The sequence below is a fragment of the Homo sapiens genome, chromosome 4 (genome assembly GCF_000001405.40).
Source record: "Homo sapiens chromosome 4, GRCh38.p14 Primary Assembly".
Classification (NCBI taxonomy): Eukaryota; Metazoa; Chordata; class Mammalia; order Primates; family Hominidae; genus Homo; species Homo sapiens.
In genome coordinates this window covers 185045889-185067301 of record NC_000004.12, presented here as the reverse complement: position 1 = coordinate 185067301, position 21413 = coordinate 185045889, and the positions used below count along the sequence as shown (strand labels likewise).

The following is a 21413-nucleotide window of genomic DNA, read 5'->3' as shown; positions in this document are numbered from 1 at the left end:
TAATAAATGTTAAGAGTTTTAGAGACTGGACTAACTCCACATTAGAGTCCCAGATAACTATGATCTAGTGTTCTGGCCTAATTTCTTATGTTACCCACTGCTGAACATATTCCATGCAGTGGATGGTAAAATGTTGTTTTATCTCAGTGAGACTTCATGGCAGCACTGGTTGCAAATGTTAGGTGTCATTCGTCTGCTGTCCTTCTGGTCTAATACTTATGTCAGCAGCTGAGATACTGATTCTAGCCAGGGTTTTTGTATGCGTGTGGGGTATTTAAAATACCCAGAGAATTGGATCAAATATGATTATCTGGTTTGTGTTTTTTGATGTATGATTCAAAAAAAATTGAACTCAGGTGTATGGAGGTATAATTTACATACAATAAAATTCACCTCTTACGTACACAGTTGAATGTGGATTTGATAAATGTACATCACTTTCAAACTCAAGAACCAGAACGCCTCCCCCAGACTTTATAGTCAATCTCCTACCCCAGCCACAGGCAACCAGTGATCTAGTCTCTGTTCCTAGAGATTCGCCCATTTCAGAATTTGCCTGTATGACTTCAGCAATAAAAAAATTGACATAGAAATTCATATGGGATAATTTAGTGTGCAAGGAGCAATGTTACTTACTAGGAAAATCACAGCCTATTTGGTGTGAGTCACAGTATGCCTTTTCCACTTGTTACTATGTAACCTTTGTCATGACTGCCTAGTTAGTTCTTGATGAACCAAATGGATTTCAGAGAGGTTTAGGAGTCTAGGAACTTACGATGTACCTTGTGAGAGGACTCTGGGCTCTCAGAATTTCAAAGTAAACCACTCCTTCGGCCTATCAGCCCAGGGGCTTGCAGTCACACTTTCTAATTTCTAAACTACACTGGGTTGTTTCCATCTGGCCAGGTTAGGCTTACTAGCCAGGATGACCACATACCGTGCATTAAACTGTAGGGAGGACGTTTAGACAAGCCACAAGCAGAAGGACTTTGTAACCACTTTATTTCCCACAGATTGCATTTAGCCACCCAGTAGGATAAGCTTGGTGTGTGGCTCTCTCAGCCAGGGCAGATAGCCGAAGTATCTGTATCTAAGAAGGTCTATTGAAAGTATTAAGATTGGACAACTACGTACATGCCAAGTCCGCCTTTGATTTCCACAGTAACATGTATTTTTAGTTTTAACGTAGTACTTTCAACTTTCAAGGTCTAAAATAACTAGCGACTTGAAATCTTAAGGGAAAGGTCATTTGTCTCAATAGCCAAATCGTTTGCTTACTACGTACATCCTGAAGCATGTCGGTTTTTTCCCAGAACATTTCCATTTCATCAAATCTGAAGACAATGTGTTTACTTAGTGTATATGTACTATTTTTTTTTTTTTTGAGACGGAGTCTCGCTGTCGCCCAGGTTGGAGTACAGTGGCGCGATCTCGGCTCACTGCAGGCTCCGCCTCCCGGGTTCACGCCATTCTCCTGCCTCAGCCTTTTGAGTAGCTGGGATTACAGGTGCCCGCCACCTCGCCCAGCTAATTTTTTGTATTTTTAGTAGAGACGGGGTTTCACCGTGTTAGCCAGGATGGTCTCGATCTCCCGACCTCGTGATCCGCCCACCTCGGCCTCCCAAAGTGCTGGGATTACAGGCGTGAGCCACCGCGCCCAGCCGTATATGCACTATTTTAATTTATATTTTTATGTTTTGGTCACTTCCAGAAGAGAATTCATATCCTCAGCAAGGGAACCGCAGAGGTCATATTGTCCACTTTCTTTCTGGAACAGGGAAGAAATTTGAGACTCAAGAAAGATGAGGCTTCTAAGGAAGATTAATTTCAGGAATTAATGTTTTAAAGAGTACAATGTTTTTATTCACCAATAAACTGAAAGTCAATTTCTAGATGTTTCTTTCTCGTGTATGCTCGATTTGTTGTATTGGTAAGCAAAGCCCTGGAAGGAAGCTTTACCTGCTCCTCAGGCTCACCCATCTTCACTGTGACTGATGGGGAGGCAGTGAGGTCAGTGAGGCTCCTTGCAGGATGCAGCCACTCAAGGCCAATCACGAAGATTGTTCTCCCTAAGGTATTTCTTGGTGAGGCATTTTAAGGACCTTTTAGAAAATTGTTTCTCAGAAACAACTGTGATTTTATTTTTGAAGCATTCACTGTTAACAACATCTGTGAGATTTTCAGTTTTTCCATTGATTTTAACCTTTTAGAAACTGTTCAAAATTTCCAGAATCAAAAGTTCCATCTTCTATTGAATGAGTAAGGTCCAAATTAAACTTCCATGTTGACCACATATGCTTCTTGTCTTTCTTCGGCATCATCTTGAGAGCCGGCCATATGATATGAGGGCAGGAATTAATGTTTGTGTGAATCTAAGTATGTTTGTTAGATCTCTAAGCCTAAAATTGGCAATACATCTGCACTAGAGCCCAAACTACCAATCCACACTCTATTCCACCAGTGAACCCACCTATGCTTTGCAGCAATTCCTCACTGAAGATACTGGCATATGCATTATCTGCCCTGTACTACCACCAGCAAACCATTATCATAGGTCTAAAACTCATCACATTTAGGCTGGACGTGGTGGCTCATGCCTATAATCCCAGCCCTCTGGGAGGCTGAGGCAAGAGAATCACTTGAGGCCAAGAGTTGAAGACCAGCCTGGGCAACATAGTGAGACCCTATCTCTACAAAAATAAAATAAAATAAATTAACCAGGTGTGGTGGCACACACCTGTAGTCCCAGCTACTCAGGAAGCTGTGGTAGGATCACTTGAGCCCAGGAGGTTGAGGCTGCAGTAAGCTGAGATCACACCATTGCACTACAGCCTGGGTGACAGAGCAAGGTCCTGCCTAAAAAAAAAAAAAAAAAAATTCACATTTTTCTCACACAAAAAAATCATGAAACATTTATCTGCACATGGCATTAAGATAGCTACTATATTATGTTCATTAACTAGCACGTGAGAGGCCTAGCACATGTAGGTCTTGGTGAGTCTAAGTCTGAGTGGTACATAATTCAGAGAAAAGACAGAGGATCTAGATAATATATTCATCTTACATATGGTCAACAAGCACTGTATTTTTAAGAATTTTAAGAAACTGCAGAGTTTGAGAATTTTAAGAAGCTTCTTCTGATTAGATCAGCATTTCAGGGACTCCTTGATGGACTTAGCTTTCACCTTACAATAATTCTCCAATCTTTATGTTGGAAGAAATAAACCAGATTTGGGACGTGAACATTTGATGTGTATGTATTCACCTTTTGCTGTATCACTAGGGAGCAGTTATTAAGTATAGTTCTATGAATCTCGTTATTGAGGTGGTTTCCAGCATAGCAGGTGTAGTCGTTAACCATGGCTACTGAGTGTGACTGGACCTCTCTGCTGAGGCCTCACAGACATGCTGCTGTATAACCTCACTTCCGGCCAGGTGCAGTGGCTCACGCCTATAATCCCAGCACTTTGGGAGGCCAAGGTGGGTGGATCACTTGAGATCAGGAGTTCGAGACCAGCCTGACTAATATGGTGAAACCCTGTCTCTACTAAATACAAAAAAATTAGCCAGACGTTGTGGTGCATGCCTGTAATCCCAGCTACTTGGGAGGCTGGAAGGCTGAGGCAGGAGAATTGCTTGAACCCAGGAGATGGAGGTTGCCGTGAGCCGAGATTGTGCCATTGCACTCCAGCCTGGGCGACAAGAGCGAAAACTCCATCTGGAAAAAAAAAAAAAGAACTTCATTGCCTTGCTCTCCTCTCTCCGCTCATTCCTTAGAGAAAGGATTCCATTGGATCTTTTTCTGTTAGACCTTGTGTCACTTAGGATGAGGCTCTGTGTGAGTAAAAGAAACTTGGCCCCTATGTCTTAAACAGGACAGAAGCATGTTTTTCTGTTCCATAAGAGAAGAATGGAGGCAGCAGCCCATGCTGATGTGGCGGCTCCAGGTATTACCCAGGCTCTCTACCTTCCAAAGCTGAGTTTCCTGCCTTCAGGGTCACATCGTGGCTCCAACAGCTGCTGGAGCTCTGGCCTTCGTATTCTTGTGGCAGGCCTGAAGAAGGGGAAAAGGTGGAATGGTGGAAAGGGCTTCTTTCTAGCTGAGTCTGTTCCCTTTAAGCACGATTCTCAGGGCACTTGCAAACACTTCTGCTTAGGCTCGGCGCGGTGGCTCACGCCTGTAATCCCAGCACTTTGGGAGGCTGAGGCGGGCGGATCACCTGAAGTCGGGAGTTCGAGACCAGCCTGACCCACATGGAGAAACCCCGTCTCTACTAAAAATACAAAATTAGCTGGGCGTGGTGGCGCACGCCTGTAAACTCAGCTACTCGGGAGCCTGAGGCAGGAGAATCACTTGAACCCAGGAGGCAGGGGCTGCGGTGAGCCGAGATTGTGCCATCGCACTCCAGCCTGGGCAATAAGAACAAAACTCCGTCACAAACAAACAAACAAACAAACAAAAAAACACTTCTGCTTTTATCTTACCGGTGGAATTTAGTCAGGTGGATAAACCTAGCTGCAAAGATGGCTGGGAAATGTAGTCTTTATTCTGAGTAGCTTTTCTGACCAGCTAGGAAGGGAGGGAGGGAGGACGGTGGATGTTGTGGTAGAAAACTAAGCTTCTGCCAGATCACTTAGGTGGAATAGTCTGTTTATATCCATGAAGGCTTAACGCCTCATAACTAGCGACCACTATTTTATAGAAAGAACCTGTATGGATACACGATTGATGCAATTAGTGCAGTCAGCAGTCATCTGGACATCCTCAAAGAAGCTCAGAGATTGTTCTTGTGTCATATGAGCGTATTCGCAGTAATAGTTTATTCCGTACTTGAATGTTTTCAACTGTAAGAATTCATATAAAGCAAATTTAAACTAAAATCACAAAAATACATCCACTGTATATATTTAACAAAGTCTTCAGGGAATATAATAGACTGACGTAAAACTGTGAGACATCTAAAACACAGTAAAAGGCTATAAAATAACTAATGGCCTTTAATGAAAGAATTAACTAAAGTATGATTGTTTAATACAATCCCCCAAATAAGCTTCTTGTTAATTTTTAGGGAGGTGGAGGAACTCCAGCACCAACTTATATATTCTACATCCTATGTCTTTGAGTAGGTTTACTAATCATAGGTCTTTGAAGATAACTTTCTTTACAACTTGTGCTACCGTTTAATAGTCGTGTGATTTTACAAGGAGGTTTATTGAAGTATAATTTACGTATGATAAAATTCACCCATTGTAAGTGATTTTAGTAAATTTGTTGAGTTGTGGAACTGCCACCACAAACCAGTTTTAGAACATTTCCATCTGCTTTCTGCTTCTGTAAGTTTGTTTTTACTAGATATTTCCTATAAATGGAATCAATTATGCAGTATGTATTTCGTGTCTAACTTCTTGCGCTTAATGGTTTTAAAGTTCATCCATGTTGTAGCATGTAAAGAAATCCATTCCTTTTCATTGCTGAATAGTATTCCATTGTAGGAATGTACCATATTTTGCATATTCATTCATCAGTGGATAGCTATTTAGACTGTTTCCAGTTTTTGACTAGCATGAATAATAGTGCTATAAACTTTTGTGTACATGTCTTTGTGTGGACATGGATTTTCATTTTTCTGATAGATTCTTAGAAATAGAATTGCTGGGTTGTATTATTCGTTTGTTTAAGTTTTTAAGAAACTGCCAAACTGCATTCCAAAGTGTCTGTACCATTTTACAATCCTAGTAGCAATACATAAGGGTTTCAATTTCCCTGTTTCCTTAACAACACTTGTTATTGTCTGTCTTTTTCATCATAGCCATCCTAGTGGGTGTCTAGAGGTATCTTCTTCTGGTTTTAATTTGCATTTCCCTAATGAATAATAGTTTTGAGCATCTTTTCTTCATATATTAGACATTGACATTTCACCTTTGGGAAAATGTCTATTCAAATCTTTTGCTCATATAAAAAATTTGGTCATTTGGCAAGAACTTTCTATGTGTTGGTCATTGTAAATGCTCTCTATATATTCTAGATTTAAGTCTTTTATCACATATATGATTTGCACACATCTTATCCCAGCCTGTGACTTGTCTTTTTATGTTCTCAATCGTGTCTTTTTTTTTTTTGAGACAGGGTCTCACTGTGTCAACCAGGCTGGAGTGCAATGGCACAATCACAGCTCACTACGGCTTGACCTTCTGGGCTCAGGTAATTCTCCCACCTCAGCCCCCGGAGTAGCTGGGACTACAAGTGTGCACCACCACACCCAGCTATTTTTGTATTTTGGGTAGAGATGGGGATCTCACCATGTTGCCCAGGCTGGTTTTGAACTGCTGGGCTCGAGGGATCCACCGGTCTTGGCCTCCCAAAGTGTTGGCGATTACAGTCATGAGCCACTGCACCCAGCCCATTGGTGTCTTTTAAGCACAAAAGTTTTAAATTTTGATCTAGTCCAGCTTATCAATGTTTTCTTTTATGGTTTGTGCTTTTGGTGTTGAGTTGTAGGATTCTGAACAAGTTGTCTAACCTCTTCAAGCTTCAGTTCCTTTGTCTATGAAATCGTAATAATAATTCTTACCTCAAAGGTAACTGTAATTTAAATCTGATTTCTTTGTATGTGTCTGGAAAAGAGGGAGGTATAAGCAGTGACTGCAAGTTTAATTTTCAACTTCCTCTTAAGTTTCATAAGTTCTTGGTACTTATGGCTGGCTTGCTGGGGGCAGGGAACTTGGTATGTGTAAAAGTTACTGAATGTATCTGCTAATACATTTTGCCCTCATCTTGGATCCAAGCGATCAAGCTTCACAGATGGAAGGAAATGAGCAGGTGAGGTAAGGGGAACTGAAGTACATAGGGGGTTAATAACTGGTTGAAGTTGCCTGGGAAAGGGAGTGGTGAGGAGGAGGGAGAGATTGTGAAGGGGCTTGAGGAAACTTCTGGGGTAATAGAAATGGTAGCAATAATCTTGACTGTGATGACGGTTTCATGGGTATATACATATGTCAAACCGTATCAAATTATACACATTAAATATTGCTGTTTCATTGTACGTCAGTTACCCCAATAAACCTTTTTTAAAAAAATTTTAAAGAGAATGGTCACACCTGTTAGGATGGCTATTTTTTTAAAAAAAAGCAAGTGTTGGGCCAGGCCTGGTGGGTCACGCCTGTAATTCCAGCACTTTGGGAGGCCAAGGTAGGCAGATCGCTTGAGCTCAGGAGTTTGAGACCAGCCTAGGAAACATGGGGAAACCCTGTATCCACCAAAACTAAAAAAATTAGCTGGGCATGGATGCATGCACCTGTGATCCCAGCTATTTGGGAGGCTGAGGTGGGAGAATCGCTTAAGCCCAGGAGGTAGAGGCTGCAGTGAGCCAGGATGGCACCAGTGCACTCCAGCCTGGGTGAGAGAGTGAGACCTTATCTCAATTAAAAGCAAAACTAAACAAAAAAACAAGTATTGGCTGAGGATATGAGAAGACTGAAACCCTCACACATTGCTGGTAGGAATAAGAAATGGTACTGACACCGTGGAAAACAGATTGGCAGTTTCTCAAAAAAGTTAAACATAGAATTACCATATGATCTGGCAATTTCACTTCTGGGTACATATCAAAAAGAACTGAAAGCAAGGACTTGAGCAGATATTTGTTCATAGCAGTATTATTCACAATAGTTAAAAAGATGAAAGCAACCCAAGTGTGTATCAACAGATGAATAGATCAACAAAACGTGGTATATAACTATAGCGGAATATTATTCAGCCTTAAAAATGAAAGAAATTCTGATACATACTGCAACATGGATGAACCCTGAACTCATTATGCTAGATGAAATAAACCAGACACAAAGGGACAAATATTGCATGATTCTATTTATGTGAATAGGTAACTCCTAGAGACAGAACCTAGAGTAGAGATTACCAGGGACTGAGGGAGGAGCGGATGGAAATTTGTTGTTTAATGAGCACAGAGTTTCTGCTTGGGATGATGTAAAAGGTCTGGAAATGGATAATGGTGATGGTTGCACAATATTTTGAATGTATTTAACACCATTGAACTGTACATGTAAAAATGGTTAAAATGGTAACTTTTATGTTATTCTATTTTCACACAAAAAATGCAAAAAAGAGAATGATGAAGTGATATGAGTTTAAGCAGTAATAACAATAAAAGAGGTATAGTGGGAAGCTGACAAGTGAGCCTCAGGGATAAGTCCAGAAATCTGGAGATTCCGCTTCCTTCCTGGTTTCCTGATCCTACCACTCACACCTATCCACTATTATAAATTCATTCTCCCATTTCTTTACTCCCTCATTTTCAGGTGCTTAAATGGGAGCATGGAGAAATGTAAAGTGGAAAATAAGTGGAATGCATTGAGCCTGGAGAGGAGAAGATTTGGGGGAGGTCATGACAGCTGTGTTGCAATATTTACAGGGCTGTCAGGTAGAGGAAAGAGGAGGCTTATTCTGTGTGCTTCAGATGACAGAAATAGCATTTCATGGGAAGCAGAACTTTTTTGCCTCCAAAAAAGGGATAACATTTTTGCCTCCAAAAAAGGAATAACATTTTAATAGTAGGAATAACATTCTAATAATAGGACGGTCTATGAATGGAATAGATGCCTTGGAATGCTGGAAGTGGGTAAATAGAGGCTGGGGATGTTGCAGAGCAGATTGCTGCATTTGATGGGAATTTGGACCAAGTGGTCTCTGTATTAGCAACCCAACAGGAAGAAGGAATTTTCAGCTGGGATTTTTGAAGCGTATCAAATGAAAGAGCTATTTACAGAGATGTGAGCAGGATTGAGGAAGCCTACAAAGGATACTGAAGTACCCAAGAACAAGCAACAGTGGGAAGGCCCCACCATCAGGCCTGAGGGAGCAAAGCGGAACAGTGCTGTTCAAGGAGACCAAGGGAGCTGTAGGAGAGTGGTCAGCAACAGCTGGAAGGGAGACCCCCCCGCAGCAGGAACTGGTAGTTCCAGAGGGAGCAGCCTCTGGCAGAATTGTGGTGCCAAGGCAAAGAAGTAGCTGGGCTAGAACTTCCCGGCCTCCATTTCCTGCTGTCTCTCACTGGCAAATCGAGCTCGAACGCAGAGGCACAGGAGCTCAGGGGATGAAGTTTGCAGGGAGGGATGACCTTTGTAAGGTACTGAGCAGGGCGGAGAAGCACATCTGTAAGGTTTCTTCCATCTCAGAGACCTTTGAGTTCCCTCACCACCCCAAACTTCAAACCTGAAGAGAGCAAAAGACCTGAAGATTACACTACTCTATGAATGACCATTTCATCCTGTGAATGTAAAGATGGGATTGAGTTACCGCAGTTTCAATAAGGATCAGGGAAATGCCCTTGATAAGCCAAGATGGGAGAGAAGCTGTCAGTCAACATGTATTTATTGGGACCTACTGTATGCTAGGCATTCTTCTAAAGACTGTAGATCCACTGGTGAGCAACATGGAAATTCCTCTCCTGTTACACACTAAAAATAGGAGGCAGACAATAAGCACACAAGCACATCACTCAAGGTGCCATCACACGACACAATACATTGGTTAAGATCATGACCTGTACCATTTCCTAATTGTGTGACCTTTGTTAAGTGACTCAATCTGTGTCTCCGTTCCATATGTGTAAATGAGGATCAATGACTGTACCTCCGCAGTAGGGTTGTTATGAGGTTATAGCTACTTAGTACATATAAATCCTTTAGAACAGTGCTGAGCACATATAGAAATGTTTGTTATTCTTATTAGCAGTCAGTATTAAGTACTAGGTGAGAGAAGATCTAATAAAGCAGAAAAAGGCAGAGAAAAGAAAATGGTGGGTCTGGGCATGATGGGAGCCATGAGAGAGGAAGCTGGGGGCTGGTGAGCAGACTTGCCATTAGGAAAGGGCCAGAGCTTCTAGAGGAAAGGAGGAAGTAGCCACCCAAACCTTCACAGAATCCTGTCAACATCTCCAGGGACAAATCAAGCCACCCTACAGAAAGTACACTTGTATGGCCTGTTAATGCTGAGGTCGAATTCATTAGAAGAAATTGTGCAATGTAGAATCGAATCATTTTTAAGCATTTAAAAGCAAGAAGCAGAAGTGAACCGTGCTTAAAAGAGGCAGGCACATAGTATCTAAGAGCTTGGGCTCTGCAATTAGACTGGCACAAGTTCAAATCCCAGCTCTGCCCTTCACTATTATCTGACCTGGGAAGGGTTACTTAGCCTTGTTGATGACTAGTTTCCTCTTGTGGAAAATGGAAATAATCATAGCTATCTCACAGGTTATTCTGAGTCTGAAAGGAAGTATTCTATGATAATTGCTTTGCACAATGCCTGGAATATTCTAAGGCATCAATACATGTTGCTGTTGCTTACTGCTATCATAATAAAAAGAGAGAATGAACACCTGTGCATGACTTGGAAAGGGTGAGCATGGTAAGATATGGATGCATTTTGCTTTAGTTGCTTTGTATGATGTTCGGGCTTATAAAAGATAACTTTTGAATTTCTTTGCCAGCTCTGAATCTCCCACCACTAAGGAGCAGCATCCTATCTATGATGCCCTCACAAAACCAGAACATCTGCTCGTGTTCTGCATGAGCAGTTATCAACAAAAAGATGTCCCAACACTCAATGGAAAACAAAGTATTTTAATGATAAAATTCAGTACGTGAGCTATGTTTATTTTTGATTATTTTGACATTTCAAGCTCAGAAACAGCATTCGTGAAATGGGGATTGCTGGTGAAAATTAAATGGAAAATTGGCACTTAAAAATTTTGCATTTTTTTCCAGCTAATTCCTTTCTAAATTCCATCCATTCCTTAAAGAGTCTTGCTGTGATGATTTCTGCTAATTTCTTTCTTGGTAGTTTCCAATAAATCAAACTTCACAGATAACAAGAGAATAACAAAATGGTAAAGGTGCTTCTTTCCTTCCCTTCAGAAAATATTCATTTGCGGATTTTTTACAGAGTACAAATGAAGGCCTGAATGTCAAAGTTTTGTTTTTGTTGTTAAATGACAAGTTGTTCCGGGGTACATATACTTTGACTTTCAGGCATTCATTCGTACTCTGTAAAAAAATTTGCAAGTGAGTAGGAACTTAAAATAAAGGCTGAAGAAATAACAAAGAAACACTAGAAAAGAAAAAAAGTAAAAACTCAGTATCTGTGAAGCGCAATAAAATGAAGCACAACAGAAAGGGGAAAAAAATGCCAAGTTGTGTCGCCAGGAATAATAAACCACGGTATTTCCAAGTAGATGTTTTTGTAAAATACATTGGGGTAGATCTTTACGTTTACTCCTTTTCTTCACTCTGTCACAGTATTAAAATAAAATGCTCATTATTTGGAATCATGGGAAAGAAGGCTTATCTATCCATTACGGGGAAAACTTAAACGTGGAGTGTTACTACTTCAAGCAGCACTATCCATATTACAAATAAAAACCTAACTAGGAATAAGTGATTTAAAAATTCCTATTCAAAGCAGGCATATATCACTACATTGCAACGTGCCACAAACAAAATAAAACTCTAACACAGGAAAATTAATTATGGGATTTAAAAGTTGAAAACACACCTAAGGAATTCATAATTTTATGAAGGTTTGGCTTATAACTGTTATTGATTTTAGACTGACTATCCCTTTACTCTTAGGTAAGTCCAAGCTGATTTATGAGGAGATAAATTATTTTGAAGGTTTTACTCTTTAGGTAGTTTGGTATTTAGTGCCAAAATACCCACTTTCAAAATAGTGGAGAATAAATGAATGATGTTCAGCAGTATAGAAAAGTCCTCTACGTTTTCCCTTTTCACCTTTAGAACTTAATCAGCACTTGGGTGCTAAATATTTTAAGGACCAAGAACAACTGAATATGTGAGAGATCTTGCTGTTCTATTTGAAGGAGTTTCCCTTGTTTTTTTTTTCTTTTTTCATTCTTTCATTTTCTCCCCTTTTGGAGACAGCTTACCTCTTTGTAATTCAAGAGGGGTCTCGAATTCACCTTGAGAGGCAACCGTATATCATGAAATGCGTTGTTTCCTGAGTCCACATCATTTGCTTAGCATCCCTTACCAATTTAGTAGAAAGATTCTCCTCCAGGGATTGTCAGCTGTCATATATCTCTTCTGCAGAGTAAGTGGGTCTTTCTCGTCAAGGAGAATTCACTGGCTTGGCGTTACTGGCTTCAATACGTGCGACTTCTTTTCTGGATCCCCCACGCTGAGTTCTTGTGTCCTTTCCCCCAAAGGTCATGTCCTACACAGCGTCCCCACTGTGCTGGGTCAGCAGGAACACAGACTGACCATTTTTGTTCATCATTATTTGCCTAAACCTAGAGAAAATAAGATCATGACTGATTTAACCCTCAGGTTCCCTCTACAAACTATGTTGTCATACATACAGAGTAATTATTTGTTTTTCACTCCTTAGGCGTGTATAGGAGGTGAAGATGGGTTCTCTGCTTTTCAGTTTGGGCAGGGCACTATTCAATAGTGAACACGATACAGAGAATGGCTGATTCAATCTCCTTATTTCTTCCAGTGGTCGCACTGAGACGATTTCAAGCATGTACAAGATCAAGGATCCATTAGACCTTTTTATTTTGTGTAACTTTTGTGGGTTTCCATGGAACTCCGGAAGTGCTGTACCTTCTTTTAAAAATTAAATTAAATTAACTAAAAAGAGAAAGAAAAAGAGCTTGCATTTTCTGGGGTTTCCCCAGAGGCTTTTTTATCTGTTTAAACTAACCAGGATTTTTCACATATTGACATAAGCATTCATTTGCTAATTTGTTGGACATTCAACTGCATGGAGTCTTCCCCAGAATCTCGAATGAAGCTGAAATACTTGGGTCCTTAGGACTGCTTGAGTCCTGCATCGTTCCCTGAACACATATGGTTTTTCCTCCTCTATCTCCTTAGATAAAAGTCAGTGCTGATCGCCTTAAGGAAAGAATGAGTTAAATGGACCCATATTCTAGGCCTGGATCTAAAAATCCCGGCCTTTTCAGAGGCGCCTTAGCATCTGCAGCAGCAAGGTCATTTGCACATACATAAATAAATAAATTAACAATGAATAAATAATCTAATCCCAGCCACACAATGCCACCTTGCAGATTTGATCCTTTGCAGCTCCCAGTGAATTTGTCCATTTCTAATTCTTTTTGATAAAGTCCTCAGATACTTGCTGACTGTCAGGCTCATTTTCTTATTGTTTTCGCTTGATTAGTTCTGTATGACCTAAGGTCGCCCTTAAAATCCACATCTCTCGTGAAGACTCCGAAAGGCCTTCTTTTTAGAACCTACCCCCCAGAAAAGGATGGAAAGGGCCTGCCGTTTCTCCGCACAAAAGCCAGGCAGGTTTTTCGTCACTAGCCTCCTGAAGCAGCCCTTCGTTCGCCCAAGCGCAAAAATATCTCATTAGGGGCTGCCATGTTTTTGTAGCCTCTTTATCCGGCGCACTTGAGTGTGCCTGTGTCAGGTCTCCCGGGTCCTGGAGGAGCTGGGCCACCTCCCCTTTAACCCTGCTGGGCTGCCCCTCAGTGACAGCACCAGGCCCGGCACCTGCCCATCCGTACTGAGTGCCCGAGGCTGTTTTTTCCTGGTCTTCTGAAAAGATGCTGGTCTTCACGGGGGCTGGAGAGGAGTGGAGGAGGGTTGCTTTTTTCTTCCTTTTAAAAGCTGGCTGGGGTCGGGCGCGCAGGCTCATGCCTGTCACCCCAGCACTTTGGGAGGCCGAGGAGGGCGGATCACGAGGTCGAGAGATCGAGACCATTCTCGCCAACACAGTGAAACCTCGTCTCTACGAAAAATACAAAAAATTAGCTGGGCGTGGTGGCGGGTGCCTGTAGTCCCAGCTACTCGGGAGGCTGAGGCAGGAGAATGGCGTGAACCCGGGAGGCGGAGCTTGCAGTGAGCCGAGATCGCGCCCCCGCACTCCAGCCTGGGCGACAGAGCGAGACTCCGTCTCAAAAAAAAAAAAAAAAAAAAAAAAACTGGCTGGGAGGTTGCTGCCTGTCCCTCATTTTCAGGCTGCACACTCACTTGATGCTATAGATCCAGGGATGGGAACACTGTCTAATTCTCCAGTCTCTGTGCTCCCCAGGTCGGGGCAGGGCCTCACCTTATACCATGGAGGCCGCCTCACAACGCATGGGCACTGCTCACTCACTGCTCATGCTCTTCCGTACCAGAAGGTCAGCTTTTCCTTGAATGGAAAAAGAAGTGACACTTTGTGCTGGCTTAATAAATAGACTTAATTAATGGGAACCCAAGTCCTCACTTCTGTTTTTAATTGAAAAATTCACAAAGACTGTTTGAATCAACTGTTCAGTATCCTTCAACAGTTCTGATAGAATGTTCCATTTCTGACTGCCAAGTCTTTTGGAATTTCAAGAAGATTTTGTTTGTAATTTTTTTCCTTTCTTCTTCTGGACCATCAAATAAAACCCTGCTATATTACATGGAGTCTTACAGTTGTTACTTTCTAGCAGCAGTGAATCTCTTGAGTACCCAAGGAAGATGTTAATGAAAATTGTACCACAGGAAAGTTTGAAAAAGTGGGCTCCACTACCCACATGGAAATCTACTACACAATTTAATTTTAAAATCTCATTGTAGACTTCCTTTTATGTGATGAAATTTAAAAAATGGATTTTTATATATTTTGGTGTATTTCAGCAATTTTCCCGAAGGACAAATTACCTAGGCCGAATTGCCAAAGCCCTCCAAGAATTTGGTGCCATCACCTGAATTTGAAAAAGGTGACTAGTCTTGACCTCAGTCAAGATACTCTTGTTAACAAGCACCTCAGCTCAGGAAGCTCTGGAAGAGCACGCTTTGTGTGATGCACAGGGAGGTGAGCTCTGAACACAGTGATATTTCCCGAGTCAAGGACGTTCCAGCTCAAACAAGCCCTTCAGGCACCAGAAGGCATGGATTTACACTCATCATCTCTAAACCATTAAAAAAAATGTTCAGGCTGGGCCCAGTGGCTGACACCTGTAATCCCCGCACTTTGGGAGGCTGGGGTGGGCGGATCACCTGAGGTCAGGAGTTCAAGATCAGCCTGGCCAACATGGTGAAACCCCGTCTCTACTAAAAATACAAAAATTAGCTGGGCTTGGTTGCACGCACCTGTAATCCCAGCTACTCGAGAGCTGAGACAGGAGAATTGCTTCAACCCGGGAGGCAGAGGTTGCAGTGACCTGAGATTGCGCCACTGCACTCCAGCCTGGCGACAGAGCAGGACTCTGTCAACAACAACAACAACAACAACAAACAAACAAACACAAAAAACTTTCAACCTTCAAAAGATTAATCATCTCGGGATAGTAAAGGGAAAAAGAAAATGTCGCTTCAAGCACTTTCCTTACCATTTTGTGTCCAATGCTTACTATTCTCCCACAGTTATGCTGGGTGCTCTTTGAGGCTCTGGAACTCAGGACAATCAACATTCTATGTTACTAAGGAAGGAAGAGGGGTTGTTGAAATGATTCTACCTTTCTTTTCAGGAAAGGGTTACCCAGTCTTTGTGATGGGAAATCTCTATTGGATGTTCTTGAGCCTTGCAAAGAGAAATTTCGTGAAAAAGCAGAAGCCTCTGCATTCTGAGAGAGCCCGCAGTGTTGGCAGCAGCCCCCTCCCCCAAATTCTGGCCATAAATTGCCCCCAAAACTGGCCATAAACAAAATCTCTGTAGCACTGTAACATGTTCATAATGGCCTTAACGCCCAAACTGGAAGGTTGTGGGTTTACGGGAATGAGGGCAAGGAACACCTGGCATTCGTAAGCCACAAACAATAGCATGAGTGATCTGTGCCTTAAGGACCTGCTCCTGCTGCAGATAACTAGCCCAACCTATTCCTTTAATTTGGTCCATCCCTTTGTTTCCCATAAGGGATACTTTTAGTTAATTTAATATCTATAGAAAGAATGCTAATGACTGTCTTGCTGTTAATAAATACGTGGGTAAATCTCTGTTCGGGGCTCTCAGCTCTGAAGCCTGTGAGACCTCTGATTTCCCACTTCACACCTCTATATTTATGTGTGTGTGTCTTTAATTCCTCTAGTGCCGCTGGGTTAGGGCCTCCCTGACCGAGCTGGTCTCAGCAAGTGGTGTCCATCCATTGGGGGCTCGAATCCAGGTTGAAGGGTTGCCAGAGCGACGGTTAGAAAGGAAAAGTAGCTGGAGGACACCCGAGTACTCTTAAAGCAATCCCCATGGTGAATAAGAAGGGGGGCTCGGAAGTGTCAGGGTAACAATGGGACAGGTATGGGGTCTGGTTCGTTCCACCTTGGAACTTTTTCACACTGAGGACGAGGAGGAACCAGAATATAGCGAAGTAACAGAAGAGGTTACAGAGCGTGTTTATTTACCAGCTAAAGCTAAAGCAGCAAAGGAAGGAAAGGTTCATCCCTACCCTTCTGCACCCCCTCCTCATTATTTTGAAGAAAAAGACCCTCCAGATCTTTCTTTTCCAGAGGACGCTGGGCAAAAAGTAGTTGCCCCAGTGACAGTTTGAGCAGTGCCTCGAGCGACCGCTCTTAGTTCTATTCAGGCAGGAATTCAGCAAGCCAGACAAGAGGGTGATTTAGAGGCTTGGCAGTTCCCTGTTAGAATACACCCCCCAGATCAACAGGGAAATATTATAGCTACTTTTGAGCCTTTTCCTTTTAAATTACTCAAAGAATTTAAACAAGCTATAAATCAGTATGGACCAGGTTCTCCTTTTGTAATGGGACTGTTAAAGAATGTTGCTGTTTCCAGTCGAATGATTCCTACTGACTGGGACGCTCTTACTCGAGCTTGTCTAACTCCTGCTCAGTTCTTACAGTTTAAAACTCGGTGGGCAGATGAAGCTTCCATTCAGGCTGCTCGCAATGCCCAGGCCCAACCTCAAATTAATATAACTGCACACCAACTTTTGGGGGTTGGCGGCTGGGCTGGTTTACATGCACAACTGGTCATGGGGGATGATGCCATAGAACAGCTTAGAGGAGTGTGCATTAGAGCTTGGGAAAAAATCACTTCAAGTGGAGAACAATACCCTTCCTTTAGTGCTATAAAACAGCGACCCAAAGAACCATACGTTGATTTTATAGCTCGGTTACAGAAGTCTCTTAAAAAGATGATTGCAGATTCGGCTGCTCAGGATATAGTGTTGCAGTTATTAGCTTTCGACAATGCTAATCCCGATTGCCAGGCTGCTCTGCGACCTATCAGGGGGAAAGTGCATTTAATTGATTATATCAATGCCTGTGATGGCATCGGAGGTAATCTGCATAAAGCTACTCTGCTAGCACAGGCAATGGCAGGACTGAGAGTAGATAAAGGAAATGCTCCATTTCCTGGAGCTTGTTTTAACTGTGGGAAGCATGGTCATACTAAAAAAGAATGTAGAAAAAATCAGTGAGTCAGGCCACCAGATAGGGGAAAAAAGAAAACTGTTGAGCCTGAAATATGTCCAAAATGTAAAAAAAGGAAAACATTGGGCTAATCAGTGTCACTCTAAGTTTGATAAAGAAGGGAACCCTATTTCGGGAAACGCCATGAGGGGCCCGTCCCGGGCCCCGTTCTAAACCGGGCATTTCCAGCTCAGGCCATTCCCTCACCCCCGTACAATGTCTGTCCCCCGCCACAGCCAGTAGTGCTTCAGTAGATTTATGCTGCACAAAAGCTGTGAGCCTTCTGCCTGGGGAACCCCCGCAAAAGGTCCCAACAGGAGTCTGCGAACCCTTGCCAGTGGGGACGATAGAATTACTTTTAGGAAGGTCTAGTATAGGTTTAAAAGGGGTACAAATACATACAGGAGTCATTGATTCAGATTCCAATGGGGAAATTCAAATTGTTGTATCTACTTCTGTTCCCTGGAAAGCAGAGCCAGGAGGGCGTATAGCACAGCTCCTGATTGTGCCGTATGTGGGAATGAGAAAAAGTGAAATTAAACGAACAGGAGGATTTGGAAGCACAAATAAACAAGGCAAAGCAGCTTATTGGGTAAATCAAATTACTGATAAACGTGCTACCTGTGAAATAACTATTCAGGGAAAGAAATTTAAAGGTTTGGTAGATACAGGAGCAGACATTTCAATCATTTCTCTACAGCACTGGCCATCTGCGTGGCCAATTCAACCCGCTCAATTTAATGTGGCTGGAGTTGGTAAAGCCGCTGAAGTATATCAAAGTAGTTATATCTTGCATTGTGAAGGGCCTGATGGACAACCTGGGACTATTCAACCAATTATAACTTCTGTACCTAAAAATTTATGGGGAAGAGATTTATTACAACAATGGGGAGCACAAGTTCTAATTCCAGAACAATTATATAGCCCTCATAATCAACATACGATGCATGAAATGGGGTATGTCCCTGGTATAGGACTAGAAAAAAATTTGCAAGTTTTCAAAAAACCACTTTAAACAGAAAGACAAAGTTCCCACCAAAGATTAGAAAATAATTTTTGATGGCGGCCATTGTTAAGCCTCCAGAACCTATACCTTGAAAATTGTTAACAGATAAGCCAATTTGGATAGAATAATGGCCACTAAGGAAAGATAAACTGGAGGCTTTAGAGAAATTAGTTACTGAACAATAAGAAAATGGGCACATAGCTCCAACATTTTCCCCTTGGAATTCTCCAGTTTCAATAATTAAGAAAAAATCAGGTAAACGGAGAATGTTAATTGACTTAAGAGCCATCAATTCAGTTATCCAACCTATGGGAGCATTAGAGCCAGGATTGCCTTCTCCTGCTATAATTCCAAAAAATTGGACTTCAATAGTCATAGATTTAAAAGACTGTTTCTTTACTATCCTCTTAGCTGAGCAAGACTGTGAACTGTTTGCATTTACAATTCCTGCAGTAAACAATCTGCAGCCTGCTAAGCGTTATCACTGGAAAGTGTTGTCATAGGGCATGTTAAACAATCCCACAATTTGCCAGATGTATGTGGGGCAAGCAATTGAACCTACTCGTAAAAAGTTTTCACAGTGTTACATTTTTCACTATATGGATGATATAGTTTGTGCTGCTCCCACTTGAGAAATATTACTCCAATGTTATGATCACTTGCAAAATTCGATTTCTCATGCTGGTTTAATTATAGCTTCTGACAAAATTCAGACTACTACTCCTTAATCCTATTTGGGGACCTTAGTAAATGACACTACCATTGTGCCACAGAAAGTAACCATACATAGGGATCAATAAAAACATTAAATGACTTTCAGAAATTACTAGGGAACATTAATTGGATACGACCTGCTCTAGGCATTCCTACCTATGCCATGAGTAATCTGTTTTCTATCCTTAGAGGAAATCCTAGTCTTACTAGCCCTCGGCAATTAACAAAGGAGACTGAGGTCGAGTTACAACTGATTGAAAAGAAAGTCCATGAGGCTCAAATAAATAGAATAGATCCAGAGAAGACTCTAGATTTGCTAATTTTTTCAAATCAGCATTCACCTACTGGTGTTATTGTCCAAGAACGGGGCTTAGCAGAGTGACTTTCTCTTCCACATGCTAATTCATGGACTCTAACTCCTTATTTAGATAAAATTGCTACTATGATAGGAATTGGGAGAACTGAGATTGTTAAATTACGTGGATATGATCCTGGAAAAATTATTGTCCCTCTCACGAAGGCACAAATACAGCAAGCTTTTATAAAATTTATAAATAGTCTTACTTGGTAAGCCCATTTAGCTGACTTTGTGGGTGTTCTCGATAATCATTTTCCTAAAACGAAGCTGTTTCAGTTTTTGAAATTAACTAATTGGATTCTCCCTAAAATAATTAAATTTAAGCCAATTGAAGGTGCTGAGAATGTTTTTACAGATGGGTCTAGTAATGGTAAAACTTCTTATTTTGGATCAAAAAATAAAGTTTTCTAGACGTCCTATACTTCAGGTCAAAAAGCAGAGCTTGTAGCTGTAATTGAGGTATTGACTGCTTTTGATATGCCTATTAATGTGATTTCTGATTCTTCATACGTGGTTCATTCCACGCAGTTAATTGAAAATGCTCAGTTACGATTTCATACAGATGAACAACTGATGACTTTATTTATCCAATTGCAAACAGCAGTTAGAAGTAGAATGCACCCTTTTTACATCACTCACATTAGGGCTCATGCACCTCTTCCAGGACCTTTGACTAAAGGGAATCAAATGGCTGATCGCCTAGGCGCTAATGCAATATCTAATTTTCACACTTCCACAATTTAACCCATGTTAAAGCCTCTGGTCTCAAACGCAGATACAGCATTACCTGGAAAGAAGCTAAAGCTATTGTCCAGTGATGCCCAACTTGCCAAATGGTACATTCTTCATCTTTTACAGGAGGAGTTAACCCTCGAGGACTGGAACCTAACTCTCTTTGGCAAATGGATGTCACACATGTTCCCTCGTTTGGGAGACTAGCTTATGTACATGTATGTGTGGACACCTTTTCTCACTTTGTCTGGGCTACATGCCAATCAGGAGAGTCTTCCGCCTGTGTTAAACGTCACCTTTTGCAGTGTTTTGTGGTGATGGGCATTCCAGCTTCTATTAAAACAGATAATGCCCCAGGCTATGCTAGCCAAGCTCTAGGTACATTTTTCTCTATGTGGAATATTAAACACATTACTCTTATCCCATGTAATTCTCAAGGACAAGCCATAGTGGAAAGAATGAATCTTTCCCTAAAACAGCAGTTGCAAAAGCAGAAGGGGGGAGACAGAGAATATGGAACACCGCAGATGCAACTGAACCTAGCATTATTAACTTTAATTTTTTGAGCCTGCCCAAAGGACAGATGTTCTCAGCAGCTGAACAGCATCTACAGAAACCAGCTGCAAAGACAGAAGCAGAACAATTGATTTGGTGGAGAGAGCCAATAACAAAAAGTTGGGAAATAGGTAAAATGATAACTTGGGGTAGAGGTTATGCTTGTATTACTCCAGGCCAAAATCAACAGCTGATTTGGATACCATCAAGACACCTGGAACCTTGTCATGAGCCAGATGCCAAGGAAGAGACTCCAGGAGGATCCCGAGGACCCCCTGGTTGCAGCCATGTCAAGACCGATGCTGAGGAGGACCCCACCTGTCACGAGCAACACCCGTTGAACACAGCCACCCACCTGGGGACAGATCAAGAAGCTGTCATAGATGGCGGAAGAAAACCTGAGGAAAGCGGGACAACCAGTCACAATGAGTAATGTAATGGTAGCCATGATAGCGGTTATCACCACTGCCGTGAGTATTCCTTCAATAAGGGCTGACACAGCAAACAATTATACTTATTGGGTATATGTATCAATCTTGGCTGGCAATAATGCCTGGATGCAATCACTCTGACACAGTTACACATGCTTTCCGATCTCAGTATTTACCATAATAAATCTGATCCTGTAACTGAGGCATACCGCCCTCGAAA

The 21413-nt window shown here is 41.8% G+C and overlaps 1 long non-coding RNA gene across 8 annotated transcripts in view; it reads right to left on the bottom strand.

The window, feature by feature from the left end:
- The window catches only part of LINC02436 (long intergenic non-protein coding RNA 2436), a 55372-nt gene extending 39947 nt beyond the window's left edge, over window positions 1-15425 (bottom strand). For 2 of the 8 annotated variants that reach the window (NR_174106.1, NR_174102.1), the window contains exons 1-3: window positions 15366-15425; window positions 12065-12323; window positions 4486-4845 (exon numbers count right to left, since the gene is read on the bottom strand). This is a non-coding gene — a long non-coding RNA (long intergenic non-protein coding RNA 2436). Of the gene's footprint in view, window positions 1-2737; window positions 2857-3954; window positions 4055-4485; window positions 4846-11960; window positions 12324-14113; window positions 14198-15365 lie in introns of all 8 variants that reach the window. The other 6 variants (NR_174105.1, NR_174103.1, NR_174104.1 and 3 more) reach the window with 5 other exon arrangements.
- Between the last annotated feature and the right edge of the window lie 5988 nt (window positions 15426-21413).